This window comes from Homo sapiens, chromosome 6 (assembly GCF_000001405.40).
Source record: "Homo sapiens chromosome 6, GRCh38.p14 Primary Assembly".
In the NCBI taxonomy this organism is placed as follows: Eukaryota; Metazoa; Chordata; class Mammalia; order Primates; family Hominidae; genus Homo; species Homo sapiens.
This window is the reverse complement of record NC_000006.12, coordinates 110237848-110259750: the sequence shown is the minus strand read 5'-3', so window position 1 is coordinate 110259750 and position 21903 is coordinate 110237848. Positions and strand designations below refer to the sequence as shown.

At 39.7% G+C, this 21903-nt stretch overlaps 1 protein-coding gene and 1 long non-coding RNA gene across 4 annotated transcripts in view, besides 1 other annotated feature; one reads left to right on the top strand and one right to left on the bottom strand.

The window, feature by feature from the left end:
* METTL24 (methyltransferase like 24) overlaps positions 1-15811 on the top strand; it is a 114410-nt gene extending 98599 nt beyond the window's left edge. For all 3 annotated transcript variants that reach the window (NM_001354594.2, NM_001123364.3, NM_001354595.2), the window contains one exon: positions 13491-15811. In NM_001354594.2, the coding sequence (NP_001341523.1) occupies positions 13491-13805 (315 nt within the window). In that variant the 3' untranslated portion in view covers positions 13806-15811. The remainder of the gene's footprint in view (positions 1-13490) is intronic.
* Positions 4118-4318: a silencer, noted in NCBI's record as "peak6023 fragment used in MPRA reporter construct". NCBI's record gives its function as "represses an SCP1 promoter by STARR-seq MPRAs in K562 erythroleukemia cells {active_cell/tissue: K562}" and the evidence as "EXISTENCE:reporter gene assay evidence [ECO:0000049][PMID:32103011]".
* On the bottom strand, positions 11976-15681 carry LOC105377937 (uncharacterized). Its single transcript, XR_942858.3, has 2 exons — positions 15609-15681; positions 11976-12221 (listed from the first exon to the last, which is right to left on the bottom strand). It is a non-coding gene; the product is annotated as an uncharacterized LOC105377937 (long non-coding RNA).
* Positions 15812-21903: the final 6092 nt, after the last annotated feature.

Genomic DNA, 21903 nt, shown 5'->3' with positions numbered 1-21903 from the left:
ACCCAGCCGTGTGAGGTGTCAGTCTGCCCCTACTGGGGGATGCCTCCCAGTTAGGCTACTTGGGGTTCAGGGACCCACTTGAGGAGGCAGTCTGTCCGTTCTCAGATCTCAAGCTGCATGCTAGGAAAACCACTACTGTCTTCAAAGCTGTCAGACAGAGACATTTAAGTCTGCAGAGGTTTCTGCTGCCTTTTGTTTGGCTATGCCCTGCCCCCAGAGGTGGAGTCCACAGAGGCAGGCAGGCCTCCTTCAGCTGTGGTGGGCTCCACCCAGTTCAAGCTTCCTGGCCGCTTTGTTTACCTACTCAAGCTTCGGCAATGGTGGGTGCCCCTCCCCCAGCCTCACCGCTGCCTTGCAGTTTGATCTCAGACTGCTGTGCAAGCAATGAGCAAGGCTCCATGGGTGTAGGACCCTCTGAGCCAGGCGTGGGATATAATCTCCTGGTGTGCCGTTTGCTAAGACTGTCAGAAAAGCTCAGTATTAGGGTGGGAGTGACCTGATTTTCCAGGTGCCGTCTGTCACCCTTTTCCTTGGCTAGGAAAGGGAATTCCCTGACCCCTTGTGCTTCCCGGGTGAGGCGATGCCTCACCCTGCTTTGGCTCACACTTGGTATGCTGCACCCACTGTCCTGCACCCACTGTCTGACAGTCCCCAGTGAGATGAACCCGGTAGCTCAGTTGGAAATGCAGAAATCATTCATCATCTGCATCGCTCACTCTGGGAGCTGTAGACTGGAGCTTTTCCTATCAAGGGATATTAACTTTCAAAAGATATTGGGGGAAAAGAGGGACTGTGATTCTTTCTAAAATATTGTGGCTGTCTTTAAGTTTACCTAGCTAGCCCTTAACTTCCAAGGAGAATGAAGACTTAGAGTTGCAGACTTGCCTCAAAGCTGTGTTTTGTTTTGTTTTCTTTTGTTTTGTTTTGTTGTGTGTGTGTGTGTGTGTGTGTGTGTGTGTGTAAATGCATCTAAGACTCAGAGCAGAGGAATGATGTTTGGGATGTGGAATCCCTATCACTAATTAATTACTTTGTGATCTTGAGTATATTATTTGGTTTTATGTGTTAAATAAGGAGTTGGATCAGATTTTCACAAAGTCCCTACTGGCTCTAATCTTCCATAACCCAGAACCTGTGAGGTCCATTTAACCATCCACCTATCCACCCATCCACCTATCTACCTCTCCATCTGGTCTGTTTGTCCATACATCCATTCATCCACCCACCCACCCATCCATCTACCAAATATTTTTGAGCACCTGCCAAGTGCCTATAGTGTGATAGAGGCTAGGTATTCAAAAATAAATAATTATCAAGCATAAGGTCCAGTATAAGGCATAAGGAATATATACCTCTTTTGCCTCTTGTCAGATGTAAATGCAGTTGAAGAAACTGTTTTCAATTTCATCTGCTAATGTACTTATATAGATGGCTTTTGGCTATCATGTTTGAGATACTTCTGTATATTTCTTGTACCAAATTTTAATTTTGCCTCTGAGACACCTCCCAAAATATAGCTGCTGTTATTCACAGAAGGCACATTTTGATAGTAACTTAAATCAGACCATCTTAATATTTTTTGGATTATGGAGAATGAGTGAAAATAACAACAGCTAACACTGATGGCACTCTTACTCTGTGTTAGGTTCTGTGCATGGTGCATTTCTTGTTTAGCCTCAACACAGCCCAATGATATGGATGATATGGGTCCTATTGTTTTACTCTGAATCACTGAGGGTCTAAACAACCTGCCTGAGAGTCAAGGCCCCAGCCACCACACTGTTCTTAGAAAAGTGCTTATGTGCACAGACATACATTTTTGCACACAGTTCCAGAGACTATAAGCCTCGCTGAAACCTTGGCATGTGTTTAGGATATTCCAACCTCATTATATCATAATTAAGAAAGCAGCTGGTTAGAAAACTATCTTATACCTTCCAAGGCCAAAGATTACCAGCATGTGGATATTTTCTGCATCTGATCATGGGCTGAGGCTGAGTGCTGTGCGCATACACCATGAAAAGCTCACCTGGTGTTATCAGCCAAGGCTAGTGATTCACAAAGTGTGGTCGTTGTACCAGCAGCATCATCGGCAGCTGGGCTCTTAGTAGAAACACAAGTACTTAGGCTCCACTTCAGATCTACTGAGTGAGAAACTGTGTTTTTACGAGCCATCTCGGTGATGCTGCTGTGTGTGATCCTCTGAGTGGCACAGTCCAGTAGAACTTTGTGTGGTAATGTAGATGTCCTGTGGCTGCACCATCCAGTATGGTAGCCACTAGCCATATATGGCTATTGAGCACTTGAAATGTGGCAGAGAAATTAATTTTAATTTGATTTAATTTTAATGAATTAATTAAAATTAAAATGGCCATATGTGGTAAGCTTCTACTGTACAGGAGAGCAGCTCAGTGGCTTTCCTAAACATTCCAGTTTAGGAACAGTTCACTTCCTTGTACACACCCACAACAAAATAAAAAACTGAATGCCATTTGGAGAATTAAATATTGATATTATCCATTTCCTTATTTCAGTGTTGATCTCATTTAACTAGAAAACATATTTGAGATGGGAGCCTTGTAGTTTAATGCTAATGAAATATTCCATAAGATAAAACCAATTTGTATCTATTTCCAAGTCCTGTCAGAATTTATGTTAAGTCATCTTCTCTCAGATTATTGCCCCTGCTTTAGATCATGGTGATAAGAGTTTTAGAAAAATCCAACAATGCAAATTTCTTGATGCAGTGCAGCCTGTACTTGAAGGGCAGTTGTGGTGCCCTGTATGCTGTCAGAGGGGGAGATGACCAGCAGAAATTCCTGGTGTTCCACAAGAAGGAAGTGACATGAATAGAGAAACGGGCACACAAAAAGGAAGTGACATGAATAGAGAAATGGGCAGAAAGGTTTTAGTGGCATTTTGAGGAATGACAAAGAATTACATTTGGCTAAGTGTCGTGTGCATAAAGAGTTGAAAATCAAGACCCGAACACAACATTTGTGCCCTGTGGGAGAATGGAATTGATAACTGCTGTTATTCCTAACTCCCAACCCTTGACCTCTCTTGTCTCCTCTCTTTCCATCAGTGAGGTCTGAAGCAAGGTGATCACAGAGGTGGAGGATGGAAGGCCAGGGGGAGGGTGTTATGGAGGCAGAATAGGTGGGACTCGTTATCTGATAGGATATCATACCTGCTGTGAGCCAGGACCTCTGATAGGAACTTGATACCCAACAAGGAGTTAGATTCCTGCCCTAAAGGAACTTACAGCCCAGGTAAGGAAATCAAAAGATCAACACAAGAGTGACCATGCTACCTACTTTGCTAGAACTCTGCATGGGGTTCAGAAATGGAGGACATCAAGTTGACTCTGACAGGTCTAGCATGAGTCGTGCTGGGGTTAACTGCAGCACTGGGACTCATATCTTATATGACCAGGGAGGGAAAGTTGAGACTTGGAGATTGTTTAATTAGAGGTGATACTAAAGTCTGAGGTGAAGCTAGGCTCAGTGGTAAAAATAATTTCCTGTATATATTTTTCAAAGCTGCATTCCTCAGTCATGTGTGTGTGTTGTGTGTGTGTGTATGCACATGTGTGTGCACACACATCCCGAGACTTCTTAATGTTTTCTCACCCCCTCTCATTTCTGGCTTCTAACACTTGACCCCACTCACTGCTGATTCTTTCATTATTTTTATTCCTAGTTTCTTCTCACTTATATTTTAGTATATGCTTAAAACACAAGCAAAAACTAAATACCAAATGCGTTTGTTTTGTGTCCCTCTAAATTAGTGCTTGCTTTTTGCATTGGGGCTGTTTTTTTTTCTTTCTTTTCTTGCCTAAGTCACATTACTGGCTCCAGCATGCTCTGAGGTTGACCCAGTCCCACCATCTAAGGGCAAAGATTCTCCCACTGAACCCCAAGAACATGTCTTCCTGAAGATTTTATTTGGATGTTTACTTGGGTTATTTGTTTATACATCTATTCATTTAGGAATCATTTATAGATGTCTGAGTTTTATGTCCCATCTCCTTCCAAAAATACTTTGGAACACTTGCAAATAAATTAACCAGGTAATGTAACTTTAAGGCATTGAGTTCTGATCTTAAGATCAGAGATTTGTTTTCAGCTGCCCAGGGAAGTAGGGTAGAAATGAAGACAGAAAAGCAGCTGCCGGGAGCTGTCCGTGGTTCTGCCATTGCCCTTCTGCCTGACTCTGCCCTCGGTCAGGTCCCTTGCTACCGCCTCAGTCCTGCCTACGTTTGTGCTGCTTGGTTCCTGCTTAGTTCTTTGCTGTTGCATAGGAATCACCCTGCTGACCTCTGACATCTTGGCTGGTCACCAGCTCACCCATCATCTGTCCCTGACTTGGGTTTCTAGGCTGTGTATTCTATCACCTCACCCAGCTCAGGAGATTCTTGCTCAGCAGTCTCAGGTTGGATTATTTCATCAAGCTCCATATCTGGCCAGAAAAAAAGAGCCTTTGCTTGTAAATGTTTTCCTCATTTCCTTTTTAATTCATTTGTAGAGTGTTGTTCCCTGCAGGAGTCATTTTTGTGAGCTAATTACTACATAAAATTATTTTATTTTATTATTAGTTCAGAATTGGTCCTACATTAGCTTAGAGTGACCCTTCATATTTCTCATAATCTGTAGGGCAAACCTCATCTCTTTCTTCCCTAGTGATAGCAGAAGTCTTGTACCGTTACATTTCTGCCAGTTGACAGTGATAATTGAAACTGATTTAGGGTGTTTAAAGTCTAAGGCTCTCAAAAAGACTTTTACTATTCTTGTTCACATTCACAATAGATTAATTTATTCTATTTTTCTACAACAACAAGACCCTCTTTCTAATGCATTTAGCTTCTAGTTTTGCAGGTACACTTTAAGTAAACTTGATATATAAAAACCTAGATATATTTTATCATTAAATAACAACTTTTCACCAGTAGACTAAAAAGCAAGAAGTTGTATTGATGTAATTATTTTAAAATTGTGATTGAATATTGACCCAAACTGTAATGAATATGGAGAATGAATGTTGATTTGTTGGGGTGGTAGGGAATTGATGATAATTCAAATTTTTATTTATTTATTTTTATGTATTTATTTTATTTCTTTTGAGATAGTCTTGCTCCGCTACCCAGGCTGGAGTGCAGTGGCATGATCTCGGCTCACTGCAGCCTCTGCCTTCTGGGTTCAAGTGATTTTCCTGTCTCAGCCTCCCAAGTAGCTGGGATTGCAGGTGCATGCCACCATGCCCAGATAATTTTTGTATTTTTAGTAGAGACAGCATTTTGCCATGTTGCCCAGGCTGGTCTCGAACTCCTGGCCTCAAATGATCCACCTGCCTCAGCCTCCCAAAGTGCTGGGATTATAGGCGTGAACCACGCCTGGTTGATAATTCAATTTTAAAAAATATTCATAAATAACTAGATGATGTGGCCAAATAAATAACAATTCTTAAAATATGAACTCATTTACAACACTTCTTTTCAGAATTCTGTTTTACAAAATGACAGAACACACACACAAACTTAGTTGCCCAGTTTGTTGATAACATCAGTTTGTAACATCATCCATTTGGGAAAATATCTATATGGCCACCAGAAGGAGGACTGATTAAATAAATTAAATCATTACAAAAGCTGTTAAGAATAAATTATTGATAGAGGCTTTCATATTTTTTTTAAGCAGGAGAGCTCTTTTCCCAAATGCAAATTTGTGAGGGATTCCAAATATGTCAAGGAGATCAAAGGGGAGCTGCTCTTGAGTTGAGGTCTGGACCTTCACCCACTTGCCATCCTCCTCACCCCTCCTGGGGACCTGCAGTCACCTCCTTCAGATTCTGAAAGCTCTGAGGGACTCTGTTTGAGAGAAAATTTTAGAGGAAAATTTATTGACATGGAAATATATTCATAGTCTGTTATGTTAAAAAGCAGATTTGAAAACATAGGATAATTTCAATTTTGTAGAAAATGTGTGTTTCAGTTATGCTCGTGTGTTAGAATTTGTCTTGTGTGTTTGTGTGTGCATGTGTACGTGTGTGTTTACAGCAAAGAAAAATGTTTGGGAGTTCAGAAGTAAACTGTTTTAAAATTCTGGATTATAGGTATTTTACTTCTTTTTTTGTTTATCTATGATTTTAATTTTTAAATAATGACCATGTATTGCTTTTATAAGAAAATATTTTTTGGTTAAATGCATATTAATTTCTAGAACTCACAGCTTTAGAATATATAGTACTTGACACAATACAAGTAACTTTTACCTTTTTAAAAAAAGATTTTCATGAATAGCACTTAGTCTCTGTTCTAGTTATCTATTGCTGCATAATGAATTAGCCCCCAAGCTTAGCTTTTTAACCCAACAATTGATCCTTTGATGCTCTCTCGTAGTTTATGTGGGGCAGAGTTTTGGGAAGGGCTTTGCTGGGTGCTTCTGGCTCAGGGTCTCTCATGCAGTTGAAGCCAGTTGAAGGCTTGCAGCAGCTGGGGTTGGCCAGACATCTCTCTCTCTCTATTCCTATTGACTCAGGACCTCTTTATTGGTCTCTCTGCAAAGGCTAGTTTGGATTTTCTCATAGCAGTACCGCCTCGGGGCAGTCAGACACCTTTCCTGAGGGCCAAAGTTTTCAGGAATGAATATACTCTTGAGCAAAGTAGAAGCTGCATCACCCTTTACGGCCTACGCTTGAACGCCACTTAGAATCACTTCTACCAGACTGTGTTAGTCAATCAGTCATTCACAGCTCATCACAATTCTGGAGGATGGGCTACATAATTTGTGGGGCCTAGTGCAAAATAAAAATGAGGGGTCTCTTGTTCAAAACTAGTGAAGAATTTTAAGACAGTGACAGCAGAGTGTTAAATCAAGCATGAAGCCTTTCTAGGCTTGGGGCCCTGTGTGACCACATAGGTTGATCCCATGTCTCAGTGGTGGGGGTGTCAAGGCCACATGCAGAAAATCATGTTAGATGGGAGATAATGGTGTTACATCTTTGGAAAATAATACCTACTACAGTCTCTGTGACTCACCTCCAATTAATTTGATGGCTCACACTTTTACTAGCTAAAACCAGAGTTAGCCATTAACTATAGAGGAGACACTACAGGCTGCCATAATAGTAAAAGGATGTATTGTAAAAATGCTTATGGAGATAGTGGTTGCCTCTAAATAGAGCATAGCAAAAATACCTGTTTTAGATTTGTTATGGGTTGAAGAAATTCATAGATTGAAGCCCTAACTCCCAGTGTGACTGTATTTAGAGATAGGGCCTTTAAGGAGGTGATTAAGGTTAAATGAGGTCATAAGGGTGGGACCCTAATCCAACAAGACTAGTGTCCTTGTAAGAAAAAGTGGAGACACCAGGAATGCATGCAGAAAGGCCACAGGGACAAGGCAGCCATCTGCAAGCCAAGTCGGGAGGACTTAGGAGAAACCAAACCTGCTGACACGTTGATCTTGGGTTTCTAGCCTCCAAAGGTGGAGAAAATAAATTTGTTGTTTAAACCACCCGATCTGCTTTGGTTTAAATGTTTTTGTCTCCTCCAAAATTCATGCTGAAACTGAATCCCAATGCAGCAGGTTTTTTTTGTTTTGTTTTTTAAGGAAGAGTTTTGCTCTATCTCCCAGGCTGGAGTATCATGGCGCCATCTCAGCTCACTGCAACCTCTGCCCCCCAGGTCCAAGCAATTCTTCTGGCTCAGCCTCCTGAGTAGCTGGGATTACAGGAGTGTACCACCTCACCCGGCTAATTTTTGTAGTTTCAGTAGAGAAGGGATTTCGCCATGTTGGCTAGGCTGGTCTCGAAATCCTGGCCTCAAGTGATCCACCTGCCTTGGCCTCCCAAAGTGCAGGGATTACAGGCGTGAGCTACTGCACCTGGCCCAATGAAGCAGTATGAAGGGGTGTGGCCTTTAGGATGTGTTTGAGTCAGGAGGGCTCTACCTGCATGAATGGGATTAGGTGCCCTTATAAAAGGGCTTGATGGAAGGAGTTTGCCCGTTTACTCCCCTTCCATCCTTTCTGCCATGTGAGGATACTTAGGTGATGCTATCTCTGAAGAACAGGTTCTCACCAGTCACCAAACCTGCCAACCTTGAACTTGGACTTCCCAGCCTTCAGAACTGTATGATATACATTTTTGTTCTTTATAAATTACTTAGTCTAATGTATTTTGTTATGGTGGTGCAAACACACTAAGACACAGACCTAGCAGACTAATACAATATCTAACTAAGACTTACAAATATTTACTTTACTTGTCCTATTTATTATTTTCTTTATTAGTCATCTTAATCCATTGAATATCCCAGGTTCTATGTCAACTGTCAAGTAAAACCAAATCTAATAACAGATGCCATGTTTTATTAATATTCCATCTTTAAAAACATTCTGATGAATAAAGGCTTTATTATTCATTTTTTCTGGAGTATTATTTGTGTCCAGTAAAAGTTCCAGTCCACTGTACTACTGTAGTTGATTTATGGATTTAGATAAAGTAATATTGCTTTTAATTACTAGGGTCAATTGTTTGCAAATTTAGCCATGAATAACTTCTCTTCCCCTTTCTGTGTATGCCACTCCTCCTCTCAAGGGCTGGAGTCTATTTCACCTCCCCTTGAATGCGCGCTAGACTTGCAATTTGCTTGACCAATGGAATGCAGTGGAAGTGACGTTTGTGACTCCCAGAGCTAGGCTTTACTTAAAAGGTGTTGCATTTTTGCCCTCTGCAGGCCAGCAGGCATGTCGTAGAATCTACGTGTTTTGCTTGAGAGCCCTCTTAAAGGGGAAAAGGCTCAGATTAGAAACTGTAGATGTGAGGATATTGAGTAGTCTGAATGAGTTCCCATATAGGGAATGGGAGGGGGCCAAAGACAAAGTGCCCCTACTGGGCCTGATCATGTGGCTGAGAAGGAACCAAGGCATGAAGTAGAGGGGTTTCACGATGGTGGTTTCAACTGGCTTTGGAAACTTGTTGACCTGCCTTGGGTTTGGCACTTGGCGAGGTCAGAGCAGTCAGTGTTGGCTGATGTAAGGACTTATCCATTAGTCAGAGTGATAACCGTAATTGTCTAAGATGGTTGCTGGCCCTTGGATCTCTGGAGTAGGGCGCTTTTCCTAACTATTGGCCCTGGGAATTGGCTCCTAAACACATTGCAAAAGCCCTATTGCAAAAGCTACCCCAAACACTGTTATGGGTTGAATTGTGTCTCCCCCAAATTAATATGTTGAAATTCTAAACCTTCATACCTCAGAATGTGACCTTATTTGGAAATAGTGTGGTTCTAGATGTAATTCGTTAAAATGAGGTCATACTGGAGGAAGGTGGTCCCTATTCCAATCTGACTGATGTCCTTATAAAAAGAGGAAATTTGGACACACAGAGAGAACACCATGTGAAGATGAAGGCAGAGATCAGGTGATGCAGGAGCCAAGGAATGTTGAAGATTGCTAGCAAGCCACGGGAAGCCAGGCAAGCAGCACAGGACACATTCTCTCTCATGGCTCTCAGAGGGACACTTGATCTTGGAATTCTAGTCTTCACAACTGTGAGACAACACAATTCTGTTATTTAAACCTCCCAATCCATGGTCTTTTGTTACGGCAGCCCTTGGAAATGGATACAAGCACCCATGCCTCTTCCTCCCCTTTCCTCGAATCTCTGCAGTTCTGGGTGGATGATCACAGGGATAAACTTGTGCCTATGATGAGGAAGCTGCCAGATGGCATCAGGTCTTAATCCAGTTAAAAATGAAAATTCTCATTTCTTCAAAAGGTTTGTGAAAGTCAATTGATTGGATATTTCAGGTACAAGGAAAAGGAGATAATTTTTGATAGGAGGACCCCTTTAATACACTGGAAATCATACCAATTAAGTTGTTTCACCTTCTTTCTTTGAGACCTTTCTACCCAAGAATGTCTTCGCTTATTCCAGAGTTTTCTGGGAGTTAACCTTAAGTTGTTTTTCTCCACAAACCTGATTTATCCTAACTGTATTAGGATCGGCACTTGATTATTCCCATCTAATAATTTGTATGATTTTTAGTGGCATAATTGTTGAAAGCTGATATTAGAATCTTAAAAGTGGCATATCCTATTCAGCAATGTTTAGTGCTTTATAATAACAATAATATTGGATGCATTATGGAGTAATAATGGAAATCACATTTGCAAAATCATTGCAGTAATGGGACGTTTTAAAATGTGAGAAACAGAAAAAGCACACTGGAAGAGCAGAGCATGTTTTATTCACAGCCTTTTGGCTGCCTGCACTCTCAGGTCAGAAGGCAGAGAAGAGCTTCTGTGCTCCCCCTGGGCTGCATGATTTAGATCAACTTATACAATTCTGATTGAAGTGGGGGATTTTCAGTCACTGGAATCAAAAGAGGGTGGGAGTGTTGTTGTGTTTGAAAATACTTTTTGCTCTTTAGAATAGATTAGCATTTTATAAATGAAAATTGGATTTTCAAAGAAAGCCTATGTTTACTATGATTTAGCCTAATAATTTGGTTCCCTTTGATTTGCTCATAACTTCTGATTGATAGTTTATTTTTAAGACGTTTGGAATAAATATACAAAATATATTCCTTATACATCACTAATAGAGTTTTTAGGTTAATTTAAAGGTGATGAACTTTACTCTGTCTTTTTAATACTTCGATGTATTCCTCACATTCAACATAAGCAAACTCACAGAAAACCATGGTGAACATGAATCTGTAAGGAACCTAAGACATTCTTGGCTATGTGAATTGATAGAACAAATGCTGGTTTTGGGTTTTGGATACTTTCTGTACCAATTAGAAAATTTTACAAAGTTTTGATTAAATATTTCCTTTGGCAGCTTAATTCCCCTTAATTCAGGAGTATTCTGTTTAAAATTTGCCAAGATTAAACAAACCCATGGACATGCCAGGGCAGGAGAGATGGAAAAATGAGTGAATTAATTTCTTTATTAATAATGTTTTATTTTTATTTTTATTTTTTTTTGTAGAGATGAGGTCTCACTATATTGTCCAAGGTTGTCTTGAACTCCTGGGCTCAAGTGATCCACCTGCTGGGATTACAGGCATGAGCCACTGCACCTGGCTAAATTTCACTGTGTCTGATTCACAAGAATTATTTTAGCCTGGTGTGTATTCACATGCAACCTGTCTTTGCTCAGTTCCTCTCATGAAGAAAGGTTTTGTTTTGTTTTAACTTTTTCTCTTTGAGTTTGGAACTATTGAACGGACAAACTGGTTTACAGACACCCAGGCTTTCCTAAGGCACTCAGTATTCTTCGGGTATTACCATCACTTTTTCCTTGGTGGACCAGGAGGTACAATCCAAGGCAAGAATGTGAAACCATGTCCTACAGAGTCTCAGGCATCAGGACAGAGCCCATTTTCTTGTAGCTGTTATATGTAAATTCTGTGTACCTTCTCTTGCATTCAACTCTGAAATCACCCAAGGAATGTGTGTTAGGCTGTTCTTGTGTTGCTATAAAGAAATATCTAAGGCTGAGTAATTTATAAAGCAAAGAGGCTTACTTGGCTTATGGTTCTGCAGGCTGTACAGGAAGCATGGTGCCGGTATCTGCTCCTGGTGAGGCCTCAGGGAGCTTACAAACATGGTGGAAGGCGAAGAGGTGCCAGCCTATCAGATGGCAAGAGAGGGAACAAGAGAGAGGGGGGTAGAGGTGCCACACTCTTTCTAAACAGCCAGATCTTACGTGAACTCAGAGCTAGAGCTCACTCACTATCTCGAGGACAGCACCAAACCATTCATGAGGGATCCACCCCTATGACCCAAACACCTCTCACCAGACCCCACTTCCAACATTGAGTATCATATTTCAAAATGATATTTGGAGGGGACAAACATCCAAACTACGTCAGAATAGTTTGGATGTGGCACAAGGAGCCTCACGTTTGAGCCTCATATGAGAAACTTATCAAACAGACATGCAATGAGAAAGGAAAGAATGGGTAGCATACGTCTTGTTGTTTATCTGTTTTTCTAAACAAGCAAAGGTATTTTCACTTTCATGGGGCAGGATATTCATGACTTCAGTCAGCAGCTTCCTGAAGGGCTGCTTAAGGTTCTGCTGTCCCCTCTTGGGGCTACAGCCTTTGCTCTTTTGCAATGATTTCCTCCAGCCTCGTTATTCCAGTTTATGTCTGAATGCTGTCAGCTTTCCTCCATGTGGTAGAATTATCCCCCTTGAAAAGTGCTCTGCAAATGTAAAGTGGCAATATTGATAATAATACTTTACTCACTGACCCATATTCGCTCTCCAGATAGCACCTTATTTTCCAAACTCCAAACCTCTTTGAGACTCTGAGTTACCCATTTTTCCTCTTGGGTGTATTGGAAGAGGCAATGTTAGGTAAGGGTTAAGAACACAGGCTCTGTAGACAGACTCTGTTCAGAGTTCATCACTGCCTCTCTAGCCATGTGACTGGGAATGGGTTCCTCACTGAGTCTGGTTTCCTGAACTTTAATTAGGGATACTCACAGAATCACCCTTACAGCATTATTGAGAGGATTAAATGGATATTGCAAGGGGAAGCCCTTAGCATGGTGTCAGGCACATATAACTACTTGGTAAAAATGAGCTTTCATTGTGTTTAGGGTTCTGGTGTTCTAACGGATTTTTTGCACAGGCAGCGAAAAGGAGCTGATTCTCATAACTTGATTAATTTGCAAAATATTGATATTACAATCCTCTTCTTCCTTTATTCTGTCTCACTTGAATGTGAACTTGTGTTCATTAAATAAGCAGAGGATGGTGTTACTGCTTTTTTTTTTTTTAAGAATGCTATACTGGTATATACATTGTAAAGAAATCATAGAATAATAATATTATTTTTTTATAGTCCAATATTCAGATACTCAATAACTTTTTCATTGATGTCCAGTCTCGATGAAGTTGGGGTTGGGGGGATGAGGCCTGCAAGATAGTCCCTGCAGGCAGTAGCCCTTTGTCACTTCCTTTCTATAGACACCTTCTGTCAGGACTTGGCAGAGTTTCCTGGGGTGGCATAGTTTGTGGGGTACACAGAGGTCTGTGATACACTCACTCTAACTTCTCCTTCTCAGATATCCATTCCCACTGGGCAGAAAGCAAGAGGGTCTGTTGTGATTTTTGCCTGGTATTTCATCATTTGTATATTAACATATATTAACATAACAGGCTCACGCCTGTAGTCCCAGCTACTCAGGAGGCGGAGGCAGGAGGATTGCTTGAACCAGGAGTTTTATACCAGCCTAGGCAACATATCGAGACCCCCATCTCTTAAAAACAAGAACAAAAAACCAAAACATTTAGTAGGGAATGGGGTTAGAAATTCATGTCATAAATGCAAATGGCCACTTGAAAACCACCCTCAGCTCTAAAATTTTAAAAATTCTGTTTCCTTCAGAGGTAGCTATAATGTGAAACTCCTGATATCAAGATAGTTTTACTAAATCTGCTAATCTCATTTCATTGCTTTGTTACAGATTGACGTTCTCAAGGCAGATCTGGAAAGTGCAGAATGGAAAGTTTTGGAAAATCTTATTCTGGAAGATGTTCTTGAGCAGATTGGACAGCTCATCTTTGAGATCCATCTCCACTGGCCTGGGTTTGAGGTCAGTGGCAGTGACAGCAGCGTTGTGCGGTTCTGGTACAGCCTTCTCAAAGAGTTAGAACAAAAGGATTTCAGGCTTTTTCACAGTTACAAAGACTTATCTAAACCTCAGCTATTCTTGAAGAAAGACATTTTCAATGCAAGTAGCTGTTATACTCTGAGTTGGGTGAATACAAGATGGAAATAGGATGCAGGATGTCATCAAGAGCACAAGAAAATATTTGCAGAATGCAGCATGTCCATAATTCTAATCATGAGTTTACTCATCCAGTCTCCTGCTAGCCTGTGCCCTGCTTGAGGCAGGGAGTGTGTTATTGCGGGCATGCAGCCTAGTGCTTGGCATGTGATGGGGCACAGTCAATACTTGTTAAAGGGATAAACACAGTCACCCCTATTTGCCCAGACTCTTCCTTCACCTTAACTTGGAAGATTATCCCCAGCTCATCACAGTTTTCCCTAAAATTCTCTATGTATCTATAATCTATGAATTCACCAACATTGAAATGAAATTATATAAATTTCCTATTTTTACTAGGTTGGTGAGATTTTTAAGTTCTTCCCCTACTGTTTAAAATAGGGTTTTAAATTTGAATTTGACCCTCCTTTTTCAAGGTTTTTCTTATTTACCTTGTTAATGATATTCTTTACAACCTTGTAGATTTCAGTCATTCCTTCTCAGCCTTTGCTGAGGCCATGCTGTGGCTTTCTAAGCAGCAATACTTCTGATTTCTGGGAACTCGGATGCACCAAATTCTGTCACTGAGTTAAAGAGACTAGACTATCAAGAGCTTCAACACGAAGGTGTAAGTTCCAGTTCGAGACCAAGTCTGAAGGTCTTGACCTCACCAAGACCCATGTCCCAGCTTGAAGACAGCCAGACAGAGAATTAATTCTTCCTTACTGCCTTAGGTTCTATTCAGGCCTTCAACTGGTTGAATGAGGTCCACTTACACTGAGGTGAAGAATCTGATTTATTTAGTCTACTGATTTAAATATTAATTTCATCTGGAAATATCCTTACAGATACACCTAGAATAATGTTTAACTAAAGATCTGGACACCCTTTAGTCCAGTTAAGTTGACACATAAAATTAACCATTGTAGGTAGGTAGGTAGATAAATAGATAGATGATAGATAGATAGATAGATAGATAGATAGATAAGATAGATTTTCCTACTGGCATGTTTCACCATTTTCTTGACTCACATATTCTGGTTTCCATCTGGCTCCTTCGGTCTGTGCTCTCCTCACTGAAGTAAGGCCTTTAATGATTACTTCATTATAAGTCCATGAGTAATATGGTTTGGCTACGTCCCCAACCAAATCTCATCTTGAATTGTAGTTCCCATAATCCCCACGTGTTGTGGGAGGGACCTGGTGAGAGGTAATTGAATCATGGGGTTGGTTTCCTCCATGCTATTCTCATGATACTGAGTAAGTTCTCATGAGATCTGATGGTTTTATAAGAGGTGTCCCCCTTCACTTGGCTCTCATTTTTCTCCTTCCTGCTGCCATATGAAGAAGGATGTGTTTGCTTCCCCTTCCACCACGACTGTAAGTTTCCTGAGGCCTCGCCAGCCATGCTAAACTGTGAGTCAATTAAATCTCTTTCCTCTATAAATTACTCAGTCTCAGGTATATCTTCATAGCAGTGTGAGAATGGACTAATACTTTGGGTATTACACTTTTTAGATTTTACGTATTTGAAAAAGCACTTGCTTTTTATACCTGAATAAAGTTTATTTGTTCACAGAAAAAAAAAAGAGCTTCAACTCAAGATGCTTTTTATACTCAGCCTTAATTCCCCTTCACTTCCTATTAAACTAAGCACAGAGCAGAATCTGGGTATCTTTGCTGTTGCCTCTTCTGCCTTCAAACATGATTTACCACCCACAGACTTGCCTATGCTGTCAAATCTTTTTTAAAAAAATACATTATCTCTAATAATGTTAAGTGCATTTTTCTTTACTCCCAGTTGGCATCACTTACATGATTGTGGCCTGAAGACCATCGTCTCACTTTCGTAGGATAGTTAGACAGTTTTTCAATAGCACCGATCCTTTCTACATTAAAAGTTAAGTGGAAAGTTTAGGTTCTCAGCGGTTCAAATGCTCTCTCTCATTACTATTTACAGGATTAAACACGTGCATAATTTTCTAAAATTCTATTTCAAATAAATAGCATAAAAACCACATTATTACTTTATTGTCAATTAAATATATTTTTTGGCATTTTTATATCCTGAGTATAAAACTGTATGTACATTGCTCAAAAACTGGGGGGAGAGAGTAGAATGCCGATTATTACTAGACTTTACCCCTTTTCCCAATTTGTACTTCCTTCTACCCTCAGACATTCCCCAGGTTAGCTCTTTGTTTCTTGAAGTGGTTTGAAAATGCCATTCCTCAAGTGAGAAATCAAATCGTCTTAGACTTGGATGACCTCACTAGCTTGAGTTGAAAAGAGAACAGGACTTTCTGAGTTAGTTGTGATAATTAAAAAATATATACACATGAGCTTTTTATTTTAAAACTCATAGTCCACTAATAAAAGTTGTTGAGCTGAGAGGACTGGCTTGAGTAAGTGTGATCTGAAAAGGCAGTTTAGTCATTTCAATGTACAGAGGTATTTCAAATGTGCAGAAGGGTCCACACACACTCTAAATTGGTTTATACTGTTAGTTATATGGTGTCATCTCCAAAGCAAAGCTAACTTTAGCCCAGTTCTGTTTGGATTATATAACAGATTTATTTTCATAAAATGTTTATATACTGAAATATATAAACATTTTTATACATTAAAGTGTAGAAAGTGTATTCATCTTAAATGTCCAGTCTGATCAGCTTTTAGATATGTAGCACACCCATATTAAGATTTTTAATTCGTGGAATTGGAGATTTAGGGTATTACTGAAAGCCCCTTTGTCTACGGCAAGTTAACTATTTATTTCAGGTTGGTGGTGTTGAGCATTGACTTCATCATGCTATATGTACCTGAAGCATGAATGAATGTACTGTTAAAAAAGAATATATCATGAACACATCCAGCCACGCTGATTGACCAGGCAGCCTGTTTAATAGTTATCCATACTTATTTTATGCTTATTTCTAAAATGGTCCTTCATTCTCTTCATGTATAGTTTCAAATTTGTGATGAATATACTGATGGTTGTTAAGGTTTTCCTGCCTCTAGAGTTTATTATGTTTATCATAAATAAACATAATAAATTTCTTAACCTCAGCACTATTGCCATTTGGGCTGGATAATTCTTTACCGGGGGAGGGCTGTTCTGTGCATTGTAGGATATGTCCCCGAGGGGGCAAGATCACCCACTGTGGAGAACTACTGGTGCAGGCCATGAGAAGAGGACCAGGCTACTATAGCACTGTTTACTTGTGAACAGGCAAACACAAGATCCTCTTATGAGGAACGGGCAAAACCATAATCATCACCACCACAACCACCACAAGAGCAACACAAACAACACATAACAAACAAACAAAACCAAGAGTTACTCTTTACTGAGAGCTAACTGTCTGCCGGACCATGTGCATAGCTTATTCCTAATTCTCACAACAAGGAAGTTTATTTTTTTCCAACATCATGAGTAAAGAAATTCTGAGAGAGGCCGGGCGCAGTGGCTCATGCCTGTAATCCCAGCACTTTGGGAGGCCGAGGCGGGCAGATCACGAGGTCGGGAGATCGAGACCATCCTGGCTAACACGTTGAAACCCTGTCTTTACTAAAAATACAAAAAATTAGTGGGCGTGGTGGCATGTGCCTGCAGTCCCAGCTACTCGGGTGGCTGAGGCAGGAGAATTGCTTGAATCTGGGAGGTGGAGGTTGCAGTAAGCCAAGATTGCGCCACTGCACTCCAGTCTGGGCGACAGAGAGAGACTCCATCTCAAAAAAAAAAGAAAAGGAAACTCTGAGAGGTTAAATGGCTTATTCAGATTACTCAAGTTGTAGATGGAGGAACAGTCATTTACATTTTGGTCTGTCAGATCCCAAAAAGCTGGTGTTTGGTCCCATCCACAATGCAGCTTCCAAAGCCTGTACCAAACGTAAGATGCTTTGTCCAAAGGACTCATTTTTGCCTCCCTATTAGTAAAACGGGAGTAGGGGGAAACTACAAATAGAAAAGGCCTGCAAGTTTGAGTCAGAATTATTTTGTAGCATGCAGGTTTGCTGGACTTAAATCATCTACTTGATTAAAGTATGCCTGCCAAATGGAAGCTTACTGAAGAAATATGGAGACCCAACAACTTCTCTGTCAATATATTTAGGTTGCCAGAAAAGCTCTTGCAGGCCTGGAAATGACTCTTCTTCTGGCTTGTCCCAGTACTTGTCACTTCCCTCCTGGGTTTTAGAAATGGCAGTCACTTGGAGTTGCTTAAGCAAAGTAATTCTCCTTTGCTTAAAACTAGTCTTTGACTTGCAGATAAATGAGCTAAGATGTGAATATCTGTGACATGCATCTCTTAACATTTTTACTAGAGCAGTGTTCATAAATGATTCTGAAAATACACATTTGATAATGCTTTTATCAAATGAGTAACAATGCTCTTTTGTAGGTGTAAGGCATATGAGGATGAAAGAGATTCACAAGTTGCCTTTTAGCATAAACTCTGTATCATAATTTGTTAAAGAAAAACAATTTTCCCCTTCTTTTCTTACAGTGCTTGTATTTGATGCAGCTATAATATAAAAGGTTATCATATAAATATTTGTAACTATTTGACATGTTCAAATGAAGAACCAGGGAGAAGTGAACAAATTTCTACTAGAATTGACTGAAGGTCCAAATTTACCTCAGGATAGGGCATAAACAAACTCACGGGTTTACAGTGTTTAGTCCAAATCAGTTATTCATGTAAGCATTTCTGCCTTAGTTATAAGATCTTTTAGTAAGTATAAGAATTGCATTTTTTAAGCATTAAATGTTTAGATTTTGCAAAGCTTGGGTTAGTCCCAGGAAGCCAGGCTTACCATATTTTGCTAGTGTAAAAATGATGACTTCATTGGCCGGGCGTGGTGGCTCACGCCTGTAATCCCAGCACTTTGGGAGGCCGAGGTGGGCGGATCATGAGGTCAGGAGATCGAGACCATCCTGGGTAACACAGTGAAACCCTATCTCTACTAAAAATACAAAAAAATTAGCCGGGCATGATGGCTACTTGGGAGGCTAAGGCAGGAAAATGGCGTCAATCTGGGAGGCGGAGCTTGCAGTGAGCCAAGATCACGCCACTGCACTCTAGCCTGGGCGACAGAGCGAGACTCCGTCTCAAAAAAAAAAAAACAAAAACAAAAGACCTCATTTAAATAGATCATTCTACTTAACAATACAACAGTACCTCCAAGCTCAATTAGTGTAATTGTTCTTTTCTGGTGGAGATAAATTTATGTTTGATTCTTAAGCAGTAACATAATTCATTTTGTACTAGCCAATTGCTGATACTTTGTGGATTCAATAATACATTTAACCTTATGCTAAAATGTCTTACTTTTTCTTACATTGAAAGAGGTGCCTGAACTTATGAGATAAAATCATAACCCAAAGATTCAATATATTCTTAGAACTGCTTACATTTAGAGATTATTGAAATTCTTTAAATGACTTGATTATATTTCTTAAGAAATATAAATCAAGCATTCTTAATGCTGTCACACTTTATAACTATATGGAGGCTGGGTGCAGTGCCATGTGCCTGTACTTCCAGCTACATGGGAGGATCACTGGAGTCCAGGAGTTTGAGATCAGCCTGGGCACCACAGGACTCCATCTCAAAAAAAAAAAAGAACCGTGTGGAAAAATGGTTTCCAACACATTAAAATTTAATGCTTTCTTAAAACCAGCAACTTATTTTCTCAGACTATTTTAACTTTTTCTTAGTGATTAGTTTTGTACAATATGGCTATCTGAAATAATAAGGGATTTAAACTTGGGAGATCGAATTTGACTAAACTATTCAAGACTAGACTAGAGAATTTCAATAGAGAAACCAAGTGTGCATAGGACTGATATCTAATCAGTATGTACCAGTAGAGAAGAGCTATGTGCAACATGGTGATTATAGTTAATAGCAATGTATCATATACTGGAAAATTGCTGAGAGAGTAGATTTTAAATATTCTCACCACAAAAAATAAGTATTTGAGGTAATGGATGTGTTAATTAGTTGATTTAGTATTCCACAATGTATACATATAACAAAATATCATGTTGTGTGCCATAAATATATACAATTTGTTTGTCAACTAAAAAGTATGTCCCTTGGAATACACTGGACATATTTATGCTTTTTTGAAAAGTACCAGTAGAGATACAGTGGTTCCCCAGTGGTCCCTCTGCACTGGAGACCCTCTCACAGGATGCCCAGGCCTTTCCCCATGACTGGGCAATTAAAGGCTAATGCACAGCACAAAAGGCAGCTTCCAGGATCCTGACACAGCACTGTGGCTTGCTTCTATTCTAACTGGCCTATCTTCTGCCTTACTTGTCATTGGATATTTTGAATATCACTCCTGGGTGGATCTATATAATAAATAAAGGTCCAAGTGTGTTCTATAACATGAGAAACTGCAACTATGTGTCAATAAAAATTATCAGTACAAGAAAATATTATTTCTCAAGGTTTGATGTCAGATCAAACATCATTTTCTCAGGGACCCCTCTTATTTAAGGCTCCCAGCTATATGTCCCCACAATGTCCTCTATTCTTCCTAACAGTGTCTGTACTTTCTCTGCTTGTATAATGTCTGGTTTTCCCAGCAGACTGTATGCTCCATGAGGATAAGGGCCATGTCTACAGCCCCAGTGGCTAAGTAAAAAGGGCTCAATAAATTTTTGTTGAATATAAATTTAAAAAGCTATTTCCATATAATTTTTCTAAAAAATTATTTCATCATTTGTTACTGAAGTTTTTTCTGGCATTAAAAATACCTTTGGAATTTAGATGGACCACTGTATCTCATTTTGTTATTTAAATTTGGACACAATTTGTTCTTTTCTCGACATGGCTGTTCATTGCACTGCATGTGGTAGTCCCTATTCCTGATTAAAGGATGCCAACCTGGAAATCTTCTTGGCCTTGGAGAACTGAGAACCATAAAATAGTTGAATTGAATGAATACAATAATAATTGAAGGTTCAATTATTATTAGAAGATATCTGAGTCCTAGGATATTAAACCTCAATCTTTCTCATTGTCCTTTCTTTGTAGCAACTCCCCGCAGTCTTTTTTAGAGTCAGTATATGGAACCACAATTCATAGTATCATGGAGACATTTTTCAGTTAATGAGAGAAGGAAGGAAGGATGATGTGAGACTATTTCTACCAAAGATAGGGGTTAGTATTTTTACAAAAATGATTTAAACCATAGTTTTTATAGGACATGGAGTAGAAAGTGCATAATAAAAACAATAGTTGAAAGAGTAAAATCAAGGTGAGAAGAGGTACTGTAGAGACTGAAATATGAGCCAGAGATTTCCTTTTGGGCAAAGAGAAAGTGATGGGAGCACAACTCTAATGGAAGGAGCCATGAGAATGTCCTCAGTTACAGGTTTTGTTTTACTAAGGATGAAATAAACACTATGTAAATAGCTGTTTCTTTTAAATTACCTAGCTCAGAGACAGCAAGCCTAGAAGCCACAAAGGTTATAACACAAATCCAACAGTTTTAAAAATATACAATTAAGTGACATTATATAGAGGCAGGACAGTAGGAAGAAATAAGAGACTCTTGATACTGCTGCTAACTAGCTGTGTTATATCAAGCAAGTCTTCACCTTTCTTGAAGTATTTCCTTAGGTTAGAATATTTAATTTCTAAAGTTTCTTCTAGCTTGAAAATTTCATTATTTTGACTACTGTGATTAGATGAGGCTTAGACAATGGTAAGATAATTTCTTAATTTGTATGCTGCTATGGTCTGAATATTTTGTGACCCTCCAAAATTCATATGTTGAAATATTCCCAACATGTTGGTATTATGAGGTGGAGCCTTTAGAAAGTAACTAGGTCATGAGGGCAGAGCCCTTGTGAATGGGATTAGTGCATTTATGAAAGGCCTGAGGAAAGTTTTTCCCCCTTTTACAATGTGAGGACACAGTGAAAAGGCACCATCTTTGAAGAAGAGAGCTAGCCCTCATCAGACATTGAATCTGCTGGCACCTTGATCTTGGACTTCTCAGCCACCAGAACTGTGAGCAATACATTTCTGTTGTTTATAAATTACCTAGTCTAAGGTATCTTGTTACAGCAGCCTGAATGGATTAAGACAAG